Here is a 16523-nt window from a genome sequence, read left to right as displayed (position 1 = left end):
TCAAATCAACAACCAAAACCCAAACAGCACAATTTCAAAATGAGCAAAGGACTTGAATAGACATTTCTCAAAAAAAAAAAAAGATGCGAATGACTGACAAGCACGTGAAAAGTTGCCCAACCTCGTTAGTCATTACAAAAATGCAAATGAAAAGAACAGTGAGATACCTTCTTACCTCCACTAGGATGGCAATTATTATGCAACTAAACAAAACAAACATGAAGAAAACAAGTGATGGGAAGCCTCCCATGTTGCTGGTGGGACGGTAAAATGATGCAACTGTTGAAAACAGTTTGTTTTTTCTTAAAAGACGCGGAAGAATTGAAAACAGGAACTGAAACCACACTCGTGTTCACTTTGCTAGTAGCGTTATTCATAACAGTCAAAATGTGGAAGCAACCAAGTGTTCCTAAACAGGTGAACAGACAAACAAAACTCAGTCTATCCGTACAGAGAAATGCGATTCAGGAATGAGAGCCCGACGCATGGGTGAACCTTGGGCACATCACGCTGAGTGACATGAACCTGACACAGAAGGACACGTACTGTATGAATCCACTTCTATGAAATAATTAGAACAGGCAAATCCGTAGAGACTGAAAGTAGATGAGACACGTGACCAGAGGCTGGGGGGACGGAGGAATGCAGAGTTGCTGTTTAATGGGGACGGAGTTTCTGTCTGACGGATAGAAAGGATTTTGGAAATAGTGGTGATGGTTACACAATATTGTGCATGTAACTAACATCATTGAACTGCACACTTAAAAATGATTAAAACAAAAAGAGTTCTGTTACGTCTGATCCTTTGCCACGATTTTTAAATAGCGCCTGCCCCGTGGTCAGTGCCTCCTGTGTTGGCCGCAATGCTGTGCTCCTCACAGCTGGCGCTGACCGCTATTTCCTGCTCTAGGGCGGTAGGCGGCATCTGAGAGCATGAACAAAATGCCCTACCCAGAAGGAGCTACGTCTTTGTTGGGAGACAGAAAATAAACAGGATACATAAATAAACAACACATGGATTAAACAGTGCCAAGGGCGGGGCGCGGTGGCTCATATCTGTGATCCCAGCACTTTGGGAGGCAGAGGCGGGCGGATCACTTGAGGTCAGGAGTTCGAGATCAGCCTGGCCAACATGGTGAAACCCCGTCTCTACTAAAAATACAAAAATTAGCCAGGCGTGGTGGCGGGCATCTGTAATCCCAGCTACTCGTGAGGCTGAGGCAAGAAAATAGTTTGAACCCAGGAGGCAGAGATTGCAGTGAGCAGAGATCACGCCACTGCACTCCAGCCTGTGTGACAGAGCGAGACTGCGTCTCAAAAAACAAAAACAAAAAACAAACAAAAACAGTGCCAAGGACAGAGCAGAGCGGAGAGAGGAGAATAAACGAGGGGGCAGGTCCGCGGTGGGGACGCAGTCAGGTGCAGGGCAGGGCCGTGGTCTGGCAGGAGCTGGCCCACTCAGGACACAGGAGGCCTGGGTGGCTGGGAGAGCCAGGGGGGCCGAGGAGCGGGCAAGGCTCCCTGGGCTGCTGTGGGGCTGGGGAGGGTGTGAGGGAGGGAGACGTCCGGCTCTCCTGAGGGGAAGGGAATCAGAGAGGGGCCACGCTCTGCACATGCGTAAAAAGGGTGGATCCCATGTGGCGTGTGAGATGAGAAGGGCTGAGGCAAGAGGAGGGATGGAAGTGGGGAACTAGAGCGAGGAACAGGGTTTGCAGGTAACGCCCAAGGCCCAGGTATCCTAGTTTGAGAAGCCTATTTACCAGGGAGCTGGGATGGCCGGGACCAACCCGGGCAGCAGCCGTGCAGCCCCTCCTAGTCACCACCCCCAGCCCAAGGAGGGACAGGTGAGGACTTCAAAGGGCCAAGCCCTCCAGCGTCCTCATCAGAAGCTCAGGTGAGGGCACACAACGTGAATTTACCGTTGCACAGTGCAAGCTCCAGCAAGTGAGGCTCAGCAGTGCCCTTGCAGAAGGAAGTGTTTTCCCCCAGCCTTGTCCCCGCTGCGGTGATTCCCCTCAGGGCAAAAAATCACTCCCCGGAGGCTCCCGCAGTCCCCCAGAACCATTCACTGCCCCATCTCTTCCGGGTCCACCCCACGAAGCTTGATCCACTCTCTTCACCCTCCCGGCTCCCAAAACTGTCCAGGGACCCGTGGAATTTCAGGGTCTAACAGCAGCAAAGCACCTTTTGCTCTCAAACTTCTCTGAAGTTCATTCCGCCCTCGGGCTGGCACGATGTCCTGTCCAGCTCCTCCCGCCTCCTCCTCGCCCCTCCCCCTCCTCCCCTCCTCGCTCCTCCCCCCTCCTTGCTCCTCCCCCCTCCTCGTTGCTCCTCCCCTCTCCCTCCCCCTCCCCTCCCTCCTCGCCCCTCCCCCTCCTCCTCGCCCCCCCTCCTCCTCGCTCCTCCCCCCTCCTCGCTCCTCCCCCCTCCTCGCTCCTCCCCCCTCCTCGCTCCTCCCCCCTCCTCGCTCCTCCCCCTCCTCCTCGCTCCTCCCCCTCGCTCCTCCCCCTCCTCTTCGCTCCTCCCCCCTCCTCCTCACTTCTCCCCACTCCTCCTCGCTCCTTGCCCTTCCTCCTTGCTCCTCACTCCTCCTCCTTGCTCCTCACCCCTCCATGTGGGCTGGAGATTTGTCTGTTTTGCTCACTGACACTTCCCAAGCACCTAGAACAGGGCCTGGCACCCAGTGGGAGCAGCTGATGTTTCCCGAACAAGTGAGCCCAGTAACTTTCAAACAGGCAATGGAAGCGCCAGAGGGCTTCCCCCACTGGCATTATTTTAAATTTTATAGGCAATGACTGAATATGTTAATTTTAAGAAAATCTAATAGTATAAATATGTATGAAATAAAAAGTGAAAATGACCTTTCCCTCCATGAAAGTCACTGTTCTTTCCACAAAGAATCTCTGTGAATCATTTAGTGTGGTACCACAGACCAATTCTGGGGCAATTATACAGACATTCTGTGACGCTGATCTATTTGTGCCATTACCACACTGTCTATACTTATCACTATAGCTTGATAATAAGTCTGGGGTGTCAGTTCGCCACCTTTATTCTTGTTCATGTTCATGGCTGTCTTAGCTATTCTTGTCCTTCACATTTCTGCTTTCATCTTAGAATTAGCCTTTGAATTCCCACTAATGGAAAACCTGTTGGGATTTTGGTTGGAATTTTACTGAACCTATAGTTCCATTTGGGGAGAATAAAAATTGTCAAAGTAATCTATTTTAAAATTCATGAATATAATATAACCTACCAATTATTTAAGGCATTTAAAAAACATCTCTCTAGAATGTTTTATAGTTTTCTATGTAAATATTATGCCCATCTTACATTTGATATTTTTTATGCTTTTAAAAATATCATTTGTTTGGCCAGGTGCAGTGGCTCATGCCTGTAATCCCAGCACTTTGGGAGGCCAAGGCGGGTGGATCATGAGGTCAGGAGTTCAAGACCAGCCTGGCGAATATGGCAAAACCCTGTCTCTACCAAAAATACAAAAATTAGCCAGGTTTGGTGGCACGCACCTGTAATCCCAGCTACTCCGGAGGCTGAGGCAGGAGAATTGCTCAAACCTGGGAGGTGGAGAGTGTAGTGAGCCGAGATCATGCCACTGCACTCCAGCCCGGGTGACAGGGCAAGACTCCATCTCAAGAAAAACAAACAAACAAAAAAATCTTTTTTTTTTTGCTTCATTGTCTAATTTTTTATTGATGGTACACAGAACTACAACTAATTTTGGCATATTGGCATTACAGCCAGTGGCCCTGCCAAATACATTATTAATTCTAATAGCTTATCTATAGATTCTCCTAGATTCTTGACACCCTCAACTATATCATTTTAAAATAATTATAGTTTCATTTTCTTCTTCTTTCCAATCCTTATAACTTTTATTTCTTTTTCTTGCCTTATTGCACCGGCTTGCATCTCCAGTACAATGTTGCCTTGAATTGGTGACAGTAGATATTCTTGCTTCATTCTCATTCTAAGATGAAAGGCTTTCAATATTTCAGCTTTTACTGTGATGTTTGCTTCAGACCTTATTTATTTATTTTTCTTTATTATTATTATTATTATTTGAGATGGAGTTTTGCTCTTGTTGCCCAGGCTGGAGTGCAATGGTGTGATCTCGGCTCACCGCAACCTCCACCTCCTGGATTCAAACAATTCTCTTGCCGCAGCCTCCCAAGTAGCTGGGATTACAGGCATGCACCACCAGGTCCGGCTAATTTTGAATTTTTAGTAGAGACAGGGTTTCTCCATGTTGGTCAGGCTGGTCTTGAACTCCTGACCTCAGGTGATCTGCCTGCCTCGGCTTCCCAAAGTGCTGGAATTACAGGTGTGAGCCTCCTCGCCCAGCCCTGTTTGTTTATTACAGATAAGACTAAGGAAATTTCGTCTATGCTTAGTTTGCTTCTTTCTTTTCTTTTCTTTTCTTCTCTCTCTTTTTTGCTCTTATTGCCCAGGCTGGAGTGCAGTGGCACGATTTCAGCTCACTGCAACCTCCGCCTCCTGGGTTCAAGTGATTCTCCTGCCTCAGCCTCCCGAGTAGCTGGGATTACAGGCACCTGCCACCACACCCGGCTAATTTTTGTATTTTTAGTAGAGATGAGGTTTCACCATGTTGGCCAGGCTGGTCTTGAACTCCTGACCTCAGATGATCCACCCGCCTCGGCCTCCCAAAGTGCTGGGATTACATGCGTGAGCCTCTGCACCCGGCCTTAGTTTTCTTTTTTAAAAGAAATGATGAAGGGACGTTGATTTCTATTACATGCTATTTCTGTATCAATTGAGGTAATCAAATGATTTTTTTCTTTTCCTGTTAATGTAATGAGTCGCATTATTTAAATCATTTTAAACAAGGCTATAAACCCAACCAAATGATGTGATGACATATGTTTTTATATAGGTAGATTTGATTTGCTAATGTTTTCCTTAGGATTTTTGTGTCTGTTTATGAGAGAGATTTTTATTACTTTATCAATGTCCTTAACAGGTTTTTAAAAATAAGGTTATATTTGTTTCATAAAAAGAGATAAAAAGCATTTCTTTTTTTTCCTATTATCTGGAAAAGTTTGTGTAAGATTTGTATTATTTCTTTCTTAAAAGTTTGGCAAAATCCACCAGTGAATCTATCTGTTTGAGTTTTCTTTGTGTGAAGATTTAGGTAGAATTCACTGATGAAACGATTGAGGCCTAAGTTTTTTCTCTGTGGGGAGGTTTTAAATTACAGTTTCAATTTCTTTAGCACAACTGTTCAGATATAGAACTATGTAGATTTTCTATTAATTCTCATGAGAGTTTTTTAAAGTTTCTTTTCTTCTGAGAATATGTCATATTTAATGTGTCTTCAAATTTATTGACATAAATGTTCATAATTTTCCTTTATTAACTTTTTAATATCTGTAAGATCTGTAGCAGTGCCCCCTTTTCATTCCTGAAGCGTGATATTTGTATCATCTCTCTTTTTTCTTAAACAGCCACACCTGGAGTATCTTCATTAATTTTATCAAAACAATTTTTTTCAATTTTTGTCTTGTTAACCTTCTCTATTGTGCATTTATTTTCTATTGTTATTAAGTCCTACTCTTATATTTATTTTTTCTTCTATTTTCTTGGAGTTTAATTAGCAACCTCTACATCCCCAAATTATTATTATTATTTTGAGACGGAGCCTTGCTCTGTCTCTCAGGTTGGAGTACAGCTGTAGGATCTTGGCTCACTGGAACCTCCATCTCCCAGGCTGAAGCAATTCTCATGCTCCAGCCACCATGGAGCTGGGATTACAGGTGCACACCACTATGCCAGCCTAATTTTCATAGTTTTAGTAGAGACGGGGTTTCACCATATTGGCCAGACTGGTCCTGAACTCCTGACCTCAAGCAATCTGCCCGCCTCCACCTCCCAAAGTGTTGGGGTTACAGACATGAGCCACTGCACCTGGTCACCCCCAAATTTTTTAGAAGAATGCTTTGTTTATCAGTTTTTAGATTTTATTCTTCCGTAAAAAAAAAAATCTACATGTGCCTATATGTGTGTGTGTATATATAGTATGTGTATTATAGTATGTGTATTATATATTATATATACTGTATTATATATAGTATGTGTATTATATATACATATATACACACATATATACACATACTATATGTATGTGTACATATATATAAGGATATACATAAAAATATATATATATTGCCATAAATTTACTTCAAGGCATGAGTTTATCTGGATACCACAAATTTCGATATACCATATTTTTATTATTTTCATTGTAAATGTGTTTTTTCACATTTTAAATATTCTTTTTTTTTAACTTAATGCTTTAAAAATGTTAAAACCATGCACACCATACAAAAACCAGATGTGGGCTAGATTTGACACACAGGACGTTTGCCAGCCCCTGAGACAGTATGTAGCTTTTTGGGCCCAGGTATTTTCACTGAGGATAATGTATGTGAGATTCACCCATGTGCTTTTGCGTCTTAGTAGTTTGTTCATTTTTATTGATAATTAGTGTTTCCATGTGTGGATGTGATCTGCTGCTTTTTTTTTTTTTTGAGACGGAGTTTCATTCTTGTTGCCCAGGCTGGAGTTCACTGGCGTGATCTCGGCTCGCTGCAACCTCCGCCTCCCAGGTTCAAGCGATTCTCCTGCCTCAGCCTCCTGAGTAGCTGGGATTACAGGTGCCTGCCACCACACCCAGCTAATTTTGTATTTTAAGTAGAGACGGGGTTTCTCCATGTTGGTCAGGCTGGTCTTGAACTCCCGACCTCAGGTGATCCACCCGCCTTGGCCTCTCAAAGTGCTGGGATTACAGGCGTGAGCTACCGCTCCCTGACAAATCTGTCACTTTTTTTTTTTTAAATGAGGTAGAGTTTCGCTCTGTCGCCCAGGCTGGAGTGCAGTGGCGTGATCTGGGCTCACAGCAAGCTCTGCCTCCCGGGTTCACACCATTCTCCTGCCTCAGCCTCCCAAATAGCTGGGACTACAGGCACCTGCCACCACGCCTGGCTAATTTTTTGTATTTTTAGTAGAGACGGGGTTTCACCATGTTAGCCAGGATGGTCTCAATCTCCTGACCTCGTGATCTGCCCGCCTCGGCCTCCCAAAGTGCTGGGATTACAGGCGTGAGCCACCACATCCTGACAAATCTGCTGCTTTTTAATTTGCTTTATTTGTTTAATAACTGGTATGTTTCGGACACCTTTCCATGTTGGTGTATATAAATATACTTCACTATTTTTGTCTTCATCATAGTTGCCTGTGGTTGAGGTGTACCACAAGTTATTAATCAGTGCCCTATTGATGAAAATTGGATCAGTTTCATTTCCCTCCTCTTATAAAGAGTGCTCTAGGAAACAGCCTGATGCCTGGGTTGGAGGAAGGCCTCCATGGTCAGTGCTCGAGGGAACAGCCTGATGCCTGGGTTGGAGGAAGGCTTGTCATGGCCTGATCAGGAGGTTGTGCATGTCACTCATAGCCACAGTCACATGGCCGACCCTGACAGCAGGAAAGGATAGGACATGCAGTCTAGCTATTTGTCCAGGAAGACAGGAACAGAAATTTTGGAGATCAGCTAGCAATCTCTGCTACGTTACTCATGCATATTTTCCATTGTGTGTGTGTGTGTGTGTGTTTTTTTTTTTGAGGTGGAGTTTCGCTCTTGTTGCCCAGGCTGGAGTGCAGTGGCACAATCTCTGCTCACCGCAACCTCCGCCTCCCGGGTTCAAGTGATTCTCCTGCCTCAGCCTCCCGAGTAGCTGGAATTACAGGCATGCACCTCCACGCCTGACTAATTTTTTGTATTTTTAGTAGAGATGGGGTTTCTCCATGTTGGTCAGGCTGATCTCGAACTCCGACCTCAGGTGATCTGCCTGCCTTGGCCTCTCAAAGTGCTGGGATTACAGACATGAACCACTGCACCTGGCCTCCAATGTGTTGTATTTTGCTAATTTGCATGGTACGCATGCACACACATACACACACACACCCCCACATCTGCCGTGTGGGAAACTACTTTATCAGCTAGAGTACTGTGCTTATGTGTACTTCCTTTGCTCTTAGTCTTAACAGACTTCACTCATTTCCAAAGTTACCAAGTCAGTGCCTTTCTCATCATTCCCTTCAGTGAGGTTGTTTCTGCATTTGTAACACAGTTAGATTATTTTGTCACATGCTGCATTCCATCATGGGATTCCCTGATATTCTAAATGATATTTTAACATTTGCATACATTAATGTTTACTCTTTGTACTATAAAGCTCTATGAATTTTTAATTTTTATTATTTTGAGAGAGGATCTTGCTCTGTTGTCCAGGTTGGAGTGCAGTGGCCCAATAATGTCTCACTGCAGCTTCGGCCTCCAGGCTCAAGCCATCCTCCCACCTCAGCTTCCTGAGTAGCTGGGACCACACGTGTGCACCACCATGCCTGGCTAATGTTTTTATTTTTTGTGGAGACAGGGGTCTCACTATGTTACCCAGGCTGGTCTCTAACTCCTGGGCTTAAGCAGTCCTGCCCTGGCCTCCCAAAGTGCTGGGATGACAGGCATGAGCTACTGTGCTTGGCCCTCCATGAATCTTGACAGGTGTATAGTGTCATGTAGCTACCTAGTGTCCGGCTCTTGGACTCTTTTCTTTTTTTTCTTTCTCTCTCCCTTCCTTGCTTCCTTCCTTTTCTTTTTTTTTCTTTTCTCTCTTTCTTTTTCTTTCTTTCTTTTCTTTCTCTTTTTCTTTCTTCTTTCTCTTTCTTCTTTCTTGCTTTCTTTCTCTCTTCTTGCTTTCTTTCTCTCTTCTTGTTTCTTTTTTTTTTCTTTAACATAAGTTAATGCTTTTATTTTTTATTTTTTGAGAGAGGATCTCACTGTGTCACCCAGGCTAGAGTGCACTGGCATGATTATGGCTCACTGCAGCTTTGAACTCCTGGGCTCAAGCACTCCTTCCATCTCAGCCTCCCAAGTAGCTAGGACTATAGGCGCTCTATATAGGACTAGGAGCCACCATGCCTGGCTAATTTTTAAATTTTTTGTAGAGGCAGGGTCTCAGTCTCACTATGTTGCTGAGGCAGGTCTCAGACTCCTGGCCTCAAGTGATCCACTTGCCTCAGCCTTCCAAAGTGCTGGGATTACAGGTGTGAGCCACCATGCCCAGCCCAGATCTTGGTTTCTAATACCATTCTCCAGCAGAAGGAACCAGGCCTATTGGCTTATTCTATGTTCACTTATTCCAGGACAGGGGCAGAAAATATATGAGTCTGGAGCATTTTGTGGTACCAGAAACTAAGAAAGTGTTCAAAACAAGCAAATTAAAAAGCTCCACAATTTTGAGGATATGCTAAAGGAACACAGGGCTGAAAGAAAGGAACCCAATACCCAGAGCTGGGACAATCTGAGCAACAAAATTAACCAGTGTTAATTATAACCTAAATATAAAATAAATACGCTTGAGTCCATACTGATATAAATAAATGAATCAGTAATAATAAGTGGGGAAAAGAGACAAGCCTTTAATGCAAAAGAATGACAAATAAAGCCTGTAGAGACCCCACCCCCAAAGAGGTGGAGTGTGACTGGCCATCCTTAGGTGGGGCTGTGCATAGTGACTTCCTCCCAAAGGGAACAGTATGGGAAGGGGAGTGAAAAGAGTCACTTTGCAATGAGGAAAGCTGACAGACGGTCTCACCCAGGTGGCCGAGGCCAACATCAGGAGTGAGAAGTTCTTGGTATGATGTGATGAGAAGGGCGCTGTCCCTCTGTGGTCCTCCTTCTCAAGCCCCAGAGCCCTAATCTAATCATGAGAAAAGCAGCAGCCGAACCTCAATAGAAGGGTGGGGTGTTCTACAATAAACCTGACCAGTTACCTTCAAGGTCACCGAAAAACAAGGAGAATGAGGAGCCGCCCCAGCAGACAGGAGCTCAGGAGATGTGGAGACTGAATGTAAAATGGTGTTGATCCTGGAACAGGAAATGAGGGAAAGTGTGAGGAAATCCGAATCGAGTATGGACTTCATGAAGTTCGTAACTAATGTATCAATATTGGTTCATTAATTGTGACAAATGTATTATACATATTGTATTAGCATTCTCCAGAGAAACAGAACCAACAGGATGTGTGTGCGTGCGTGTGTGTGTGTGCGCGTGCGTGTGTGTGTGTACCCACCCATCCCCAACACACATATATGTGGAGAGAGATCTATTTTGAGGAACTGTTTATGTGATTGTAGAGGCTTGGTAAGCCCGGAATCTGATAGAGGAGCCCAGGTGGCTGGAGGCCCCGAGGAAAGCTGATGCTGTGGCGGAGCCCGAGGACCATCTGGAGGTGGAATTCCTTCTTCCTCCTCAGGAGAGGTCCGTCTTTGTTCTCCTAAGATCTTCAACTGATTGGATGAAGCCCACCACATCATGGAGGGTCTTCTGCGTTTCTCAAAGTTCACCAATTTAAAGGTTAGTATTTCATCCAAAAAACACCTTTGCAGAAATATCCAGAATAATGTTTGACCAAACGTGGGCACCACGGCCCAGTCAAGCTGACACACAGCACCATCGAAACCGTCAGCGCTGGGCAATGCTGAGACTGTCGACTGACACCAGAGTCCCGAACGGGCAGGTTCCATGTGAAGAGGGCTTGGGTCAAAGCTGAGTTCCCGACGAGGGGTGTGCACAGGGGTGGGGTGGAGGGCAGAGGGCCACACCCTCCACAGGATCTCTTCCCATGAATCCCAAAGTTTCAGTAAATTCTACTAAATCTACAAGGTACTTAGTGGAAATGTGTTTTTTTAGATGAAAGGAAGGGGCCAAGTCTTAGTATCTGGCTTAATTTTTTGGAAGTGGTCATTCAGTTTTGAAGAAAATAGTGTGAAGTATCAAAGTTTTTATGTGACATGAAGATGGTATTCAAGCTTTTTTTTTTTTTTGAGATGGAGTCTTGCTCTGTCGCACAGGCTGGAGTGCAATGGCACAATCTCAGCTCACTGCAATCTCCGCCTCCCGGGTTCAAGCAATTCTCCTGTCTCAGCCTCCCGAGTAGCTAGGACTACAGGCGTTTGCCACCATGCCCAGCAAATTTTTGTATTTTTAGTAGAGACGGGGTTTTGCCACGTTGTCCAGGATGGTCTTGAACTCCTGACCTCAGGTGATCCACCTACCTTGGCCTCCCAAAGTGCTGAGATTACAGGTGTGAGCCACCGCGACCGGCTGGTTCTCAAACTTGGCTGTGTATCATACTCACCTGGGGGGTTGTTGTAACAGATTATAGGCCCACTCCACTTTCCGATTCGTTTCCAACAAGCCAGGTGATGCTGATGCTGTTGGTCCAGGAACCACACTTTAAGAACCACTATTTTACGTGAAGAAATAGGTTTCTAATGCAATAAAAAAGGAGCATGCAAATGTTTTCATGCATGTGTGCTCTTTCTGGGTCTCTGATTCGAAGAGCTCCATGGAAGAGGGCTGTGCCCCCGTCTGTGCCTCCTCCAGCAGCTTCTGTGGTTCCAAGTCTGGACACAGGGTGGTGCCATGTGCCCACAGGTGTCCACCGGACTTTCCAGGTGGTCCTGCAGGCCGAGGTGGCCTTGCAGCTTTGTGAGAGAGGGTGTGCGTGGTGGCTGGTCTCCCTCCCGCCTCCCAGGTGCGTTAGGGGTATGTCCAGGGCAAGCTTGATAGGTATGTGCTGAGTGGCTGAAGAAGGTGAGGGTGAAGATTCAGGTAACAGGACTACTTTTGTCCATCCACGGCCTTGAGCGCACCTTCCGATGCTGCCCCTGTCCAGGATGAGCCAGGATGGGCCAGGACGGGCCAGGATGAGCCAAGATGAGCCAGGATGGGCCAGGACGAGCCAGGATGAGCCAGGACGGGCCAGGATGAGCCAAGATGAGCCAGGATGGGCCAGGATGAGCCAGGATGGGCCAGGATGGGCCAGGATGGGCCAGGATGAGCCAAGATGAGCCAGGATGAGCCAGGATGGGCCAGGATGAGTCTGGAACCCTGAGCCTGCAACCCTGAATGCTCTTCAAGTCTCAGTTTCCCCAGCTGTTACGTGGGGCCTTAATCTCCATCCTGCAGCCCCACTTGGCCACCTTCTCTTTCTCTCTGGGTCACATCATTTTCTTTCTATTAAAGGGCAGACCTGGGGGTGGCGGGGAAGAGGGTCCAGGCCTCAGGATGATGACAGGAGAGGCCATCTGGGGCAGCCTTGCTGTGGGTGGGGGACTCAGGATCTTTAACCACAGGGTTTGGTTTGAACAAGTGGTTCAAACTGGGGACTAAAAACAAGGCTAGGATAAAGACCAAAGCTCACTTCTGCTTTTGTGGGGCCCCAGAAGTAGAAGCTGCGTGAGTGTGAAGTGAGGAGGACAGGTTTGTGCTTGGAAAGGTCAGAAAGGTCGGAAGACCGGTGAGTGGGCAGGTGGGAAGAGGTTGAAGGCTGTGGACGGCGTGGCCATCTGGGCTTGAGGGAGGCCGACAAAACCTCTCTCTCCTGGAGGGCAGTGTTTCCTCCTGGCATCGCTGCTCCCACCCCTGCCAGCTCCCTCCTCTCAGCCTTCATCGGGGGCATCACCCACCCAAGGCTGGGCTGGCTGGGGGCTTGTTTGGAAGCCTAACGTCCTGAAGCACAGTGGGCCTCTCCACTGCCCACCCACACACGCCACCTGCACCCCCCACTCCACTGAAGCCCAAAAAGGGCAGAGGTGGAGGCCTCCCTCGGGGGCAAGCCTGGGTGGTGGTGCAGCTAGTTCTTATCTGTAAAAGACAAAACACCATAGCCTGGGAGACTGATCCTTTGAACACGCACTCAGGTCCACAGCCTTATCCAGAACTGGACCCCAAAGCTATAATTAAAGGTTCAGGCGGAAGGGATTATTACAGAGGAGGGGCAGAGCCCCCCACTGCCTGAGGCTGGTATCAGGAGCCCAGCACTGCTGGAGATAACATTCAGGACACCCTTCTTCCTCTGGCCTCACAGGACTTGGCTCCTGCTTGAGAAACCAAGTCAGATGAAGACTGGCCAGGGACCCGGAAGGTGGGGTGGAAAGCCTAGGAAGTAGTCTCACATTTAGGACAAATGTGGTTTCTGGGGAAGAACAAAAGTAAAATCATGTTCCTAGTGAAATTTGCTCGTATCACCAATTTACCATTTCAAAACAAACAGATAGGGGCGTGATTGTCCATAGTGAGGGTGATGACCACAGCCAAGCCTGGAGGTACAGACAATGACCATGGATAAATCTGGGGGCCTAGGTGGGGTCAGATGTCCTACTGCTTCTACTGGCTCCTGGGCTTGGACTCAGCTGTGGCCTTTTTCATTGTCAGTGATAATACTGTGGGTCATTCTGAAGGAGAAGTGTAATCCCCACAGTTGTCTCTCATGTCTGACTTGGCTTTGTATCCTTCAAATCTAGCCCAGTGCCCAGCATACAATAGAAACTCCATCCATCCTTATAACAACTCCTCCAATCATCCATCCACCCACCCACCTACCCACCCATCCATCCACCCACCCATCCATCCATCCACCCATCCACTCATCCACCCATTGACTCATCCATCCACCCACCGACCCATGTATCCATCCATCCGTCCGTCCGTCCGTCCGTCCGTCCGTCCGTCCGTCCGTCCGTCCATGCATCTATCCATCCACTTATCCACTCATCTATCCATCCACCCATCCACACATCCATCCATTATGGATCCCTGCATCCATCCACCCATCCACTCCTCCCACCCACCCATCTGCCCATCCATCCATCCATCCGTGCATCTGTCCGTCCACCTATTCATAAACTCATCCATCCACCCACCATCCATCCATCCATCCATCCATCCATCCATCCATCCATCCATCCATGCATCCATGCATCCATCCACTCATCTGTTGTCCATCCACTCACCCATCCACCCATCCATTCATCCATCCATATATCCATATGCCCATCTGTCCATCCATCCATGTAACATTGACTGAAAAAGTCTGCTAAACCAGACACTGCTCCAGGCTCCAAAGATTCAGTGGTGAACACAACGGAGTCTCTGCCCTCATGGGACTTACATTCCAGCTTCAAAAACAGAGAGTAAACAAGATATATCTAAGGAGATGTCATTTGAGCAAAGCCTAAATGATCTAAAGAAACAAGTAAAAACCTGAGGGAAAGGCTGTCCAGACAAAGGCGCCAGTGAAGGGTGGGAGTGCCCTGTGTCTGGGATGTGTTTGGATTATAATCCTGAAAGACACACTCCTGAGTCTTGAAATCCTGAAAGATCAAAATATCTAAAGTGTAAAATCTCTAATATTTAAAATTCCAAAAATCACAATCACAGGAATCATAGAAATTTTTAAAAAGTAGCGCCACTTAGAAAATGAATTTGAATGTATTCTCCAAGGAAAGCCATGTCCTAAAAGAAAAAAAAAACAGCTATTCATTGTGATGCAAGACTTCAGAATATAGTTAATGGGGTCGTGGAAGTTTGCCAGCTCTTACAGAATATCTCTGCATAGTTGCCCATAATCTACTGTAATATGACTTACACAGAAAATTCGACATATATGGCTTTTTCAAGTTGAATTTTCTGTATAGTTTTTTTAGCTTTTTTCATCATCATAAATTGTCAGCATTATTTTTTTACAGTTCACTATGCTCTCATTTTATCCTTGCATCATTTCAATACTGAAGATATAAATTAGAACACTTATACAGTGTTCTAATTTGTTTTAGGCATTTTTTGCAAAACTGACTCCACAGAAGTGCATTACCACAATGTTGTCTGTGTGTGTAGGTAAAAATGGGATATTTCCTCAATAAATGAAGAGATGTCCTTTTTGTACATCTGCATTTGTGAAAAATTTCTCTAGATCTTGGTTTTTTTGGTGACTGGCTATGTGGTGGTGAACTGTTGCGGTTCTAGATTGAGCCTGTTAGAAGGCGTAGGTTGTTCATCCTGGCTTTTCGGAAGACTGCAGTTATGAACCTGGGCGCACGCAATTCCCACCCGAGCGGTAGGTGTTCATGCATTTCCCCTCTCAACACATTTCTTTACGAATACAGCTCATCTGTGCATAACTGTCATTGGTATGACTGTTTACACTTGCAGAAACATGGATATTATTATTGTCTATTTTATTGTGTGAAGTGGCCTATGATGTGTTCTGTCATATGTCATGTTTTTATGTTTCTCAAATAAATCCCCTTTAAAAATGTAAATAGATGGCCAGGCGTGGTGGCTCATGCCTGTAACCCCAGCACTTTGGGAGGCTGAGGCGGGCGGATCACCTGAGGTCAGGAGTTTGAGACCAGCCTGACCAACATGGAGAAACCCCATCTCTACTAAAAATACAAAATTAGCCAGGTGTGGTGGCAGGCGCCTGTAATCCCAGCTACTCAGAGGGCTGAGGCAGAATTGTTTGAACCCAGGAGGTAGAGGTTGCAGTGAGCGGAGATGGTGCCATTGCACTCCAGCCTGGGCAACAAGAGTGAAACTCCGTCTCAAAAATAAAAAAATGAAAAAAAAGTAAATAAATATCTTTTAAATAATTTTAAAATTATTTTTTCCAGAAATATATTTTCAGAATTTTGATTTTTCGGGATTTCAGCATGCAGAATTGTGTCTCTCTGGGCTGTGATCAGCTCATGTCTGGGATGAGGCAGGAGCCTTGGTGGGGTGCAGGGAGAGCAGATGAGGGTAGGAGCAGGACCAGCAAGGCAGGCAGTGGTCAGAGCACTCAGGCCTTGGGGGTGAGTGAAGCCTGTTGGAGGATGCTGAGCAGCGGCAGCAACAAGACCTGATTGTTCTGGAAGACTGTCTGGGCTGCTGTGTGGAGGAGCGGTTATGGAGGACAGGTTTGAGGCTGGACTTAGGGAGGGTGGGGAGTCAGCGGGCTCGATGTACACATGAGTGTCTGAGGGAAATGGAGGCTCACACTAAGACATTTGGCCTGAGCAGCTGAGAGGGGCTGCGGAAGGTTGAAGGGTGCACCACAGGGCCTTGGGAACTTGACAGTGAGGTGGGTATAAAGGCTAGTGGTCAATAGATCCCAGCAATTGTGACTGACGAGGAACAGCTGGGGTGTCAGGCCATCTGGACCAGGGCCAAACGAGGTCTGGAGAGGGTGGGTGGAAAGACCGAGAGGGGTCTGGGGCCATGAGGTCAGGCGAGGCCTGGACGAGGTGGAAAAAACCAGGAGCTCAGACACCAGCAACCAAAGAGGAAAAGGCTGGAGAAGATGCCGGACAACTGTTCTTTGCCAGCCTAGCAGACTTGTGGGTGCTTTCCTCCAACAGGAGCAGGCCGTGGGGCTCTCACATTCATCAGCTTCCTGGTTCCTGGAGGCTGGGTCTCACCCGACCTGGAGAGCTGCAAGAGCTCCATGCTGTCACTGCAGGCCCAGGACTGAAAGATCACATTAAACTGTCCTTCCACCTAATGTTCACTCTGTGATTCTTTGTGTACGTGCACCTCCACTCCCAGACGGGGAACCTCAAGGTGGTTTCCTTTACATGCCCAGTCCCAGGGATGGCTCATGTCC

The 16523-nt window shown here is 46.6% G+C and overlaps 1 pseudogene, besides 3 other annotated features; it reads left to right on the top strand.

Annotated features, from left to right (window-relative positions):
- Positions 288–357: an enhancer, noted in NCBI's record as "active region_4257". NCBI's record gives its function as "activates an Ori minimal core promoter by ATAC-STARR-seq in GM12878 lymphoblastoid cells {active_cell/tissue: GM12878}" and the evidence as "EXISTENCE:reporter gene assay evidence [ECO:0000049][PMID:35858748]".
- Positions 11473–11552: a silencer, noted in NCBI's record as "silent region_2990". NCBI's record gives its function as "represses an Ori minimal core promoter by ATAC-STARR-seq in GM12878 lymphoblastoid cells {active_cell/tissue: GM12878}" and the evidence as "EXISTENCE:reporter gene assay evidence [ECO:0000049][PMID:35858748]".
- Positions 11769–12269: an enhancer, noted in NCBI's record as "H3K4me1 hESC enhancer chr11:257568-258068 (GRCh37/hg19 assembly coordinates)". NCBI's record gives its function as "activates a minimal SCP1, AML or CMV promoter by ChIP-STARR-seq in primed H9 embryonic stem cells {active_cell/tissue: H9 hESC(primed)}" and the evidence as "EXISTENCE:reporter gene assay evidence [ECO:0000049][PMID:30033119]".
- On the top strand, positions 12865–16420 carry COX8BP (cytochrome c oxidase subunit 8B, pseudogene; annotated as a pseudogene).

The sequence above is a fragment of the Homo sapiens genome, chromosome 11 (genome assembly GCF_000001405.40).
Source record: "Homo sapiens chromosome 11, GRCh38.p14 Primary Assembly".
In the NCBI taxonomy this organism is placed as follows: domain Eukaryota; kingdom Metazoa; phylum Chordata; class Mammalia; order Primates; family Hominidae; genus Homo; species Homo sapiens.
This window is presented reverse-complemented; position numbering and strand designations above follow the sequence as displayed.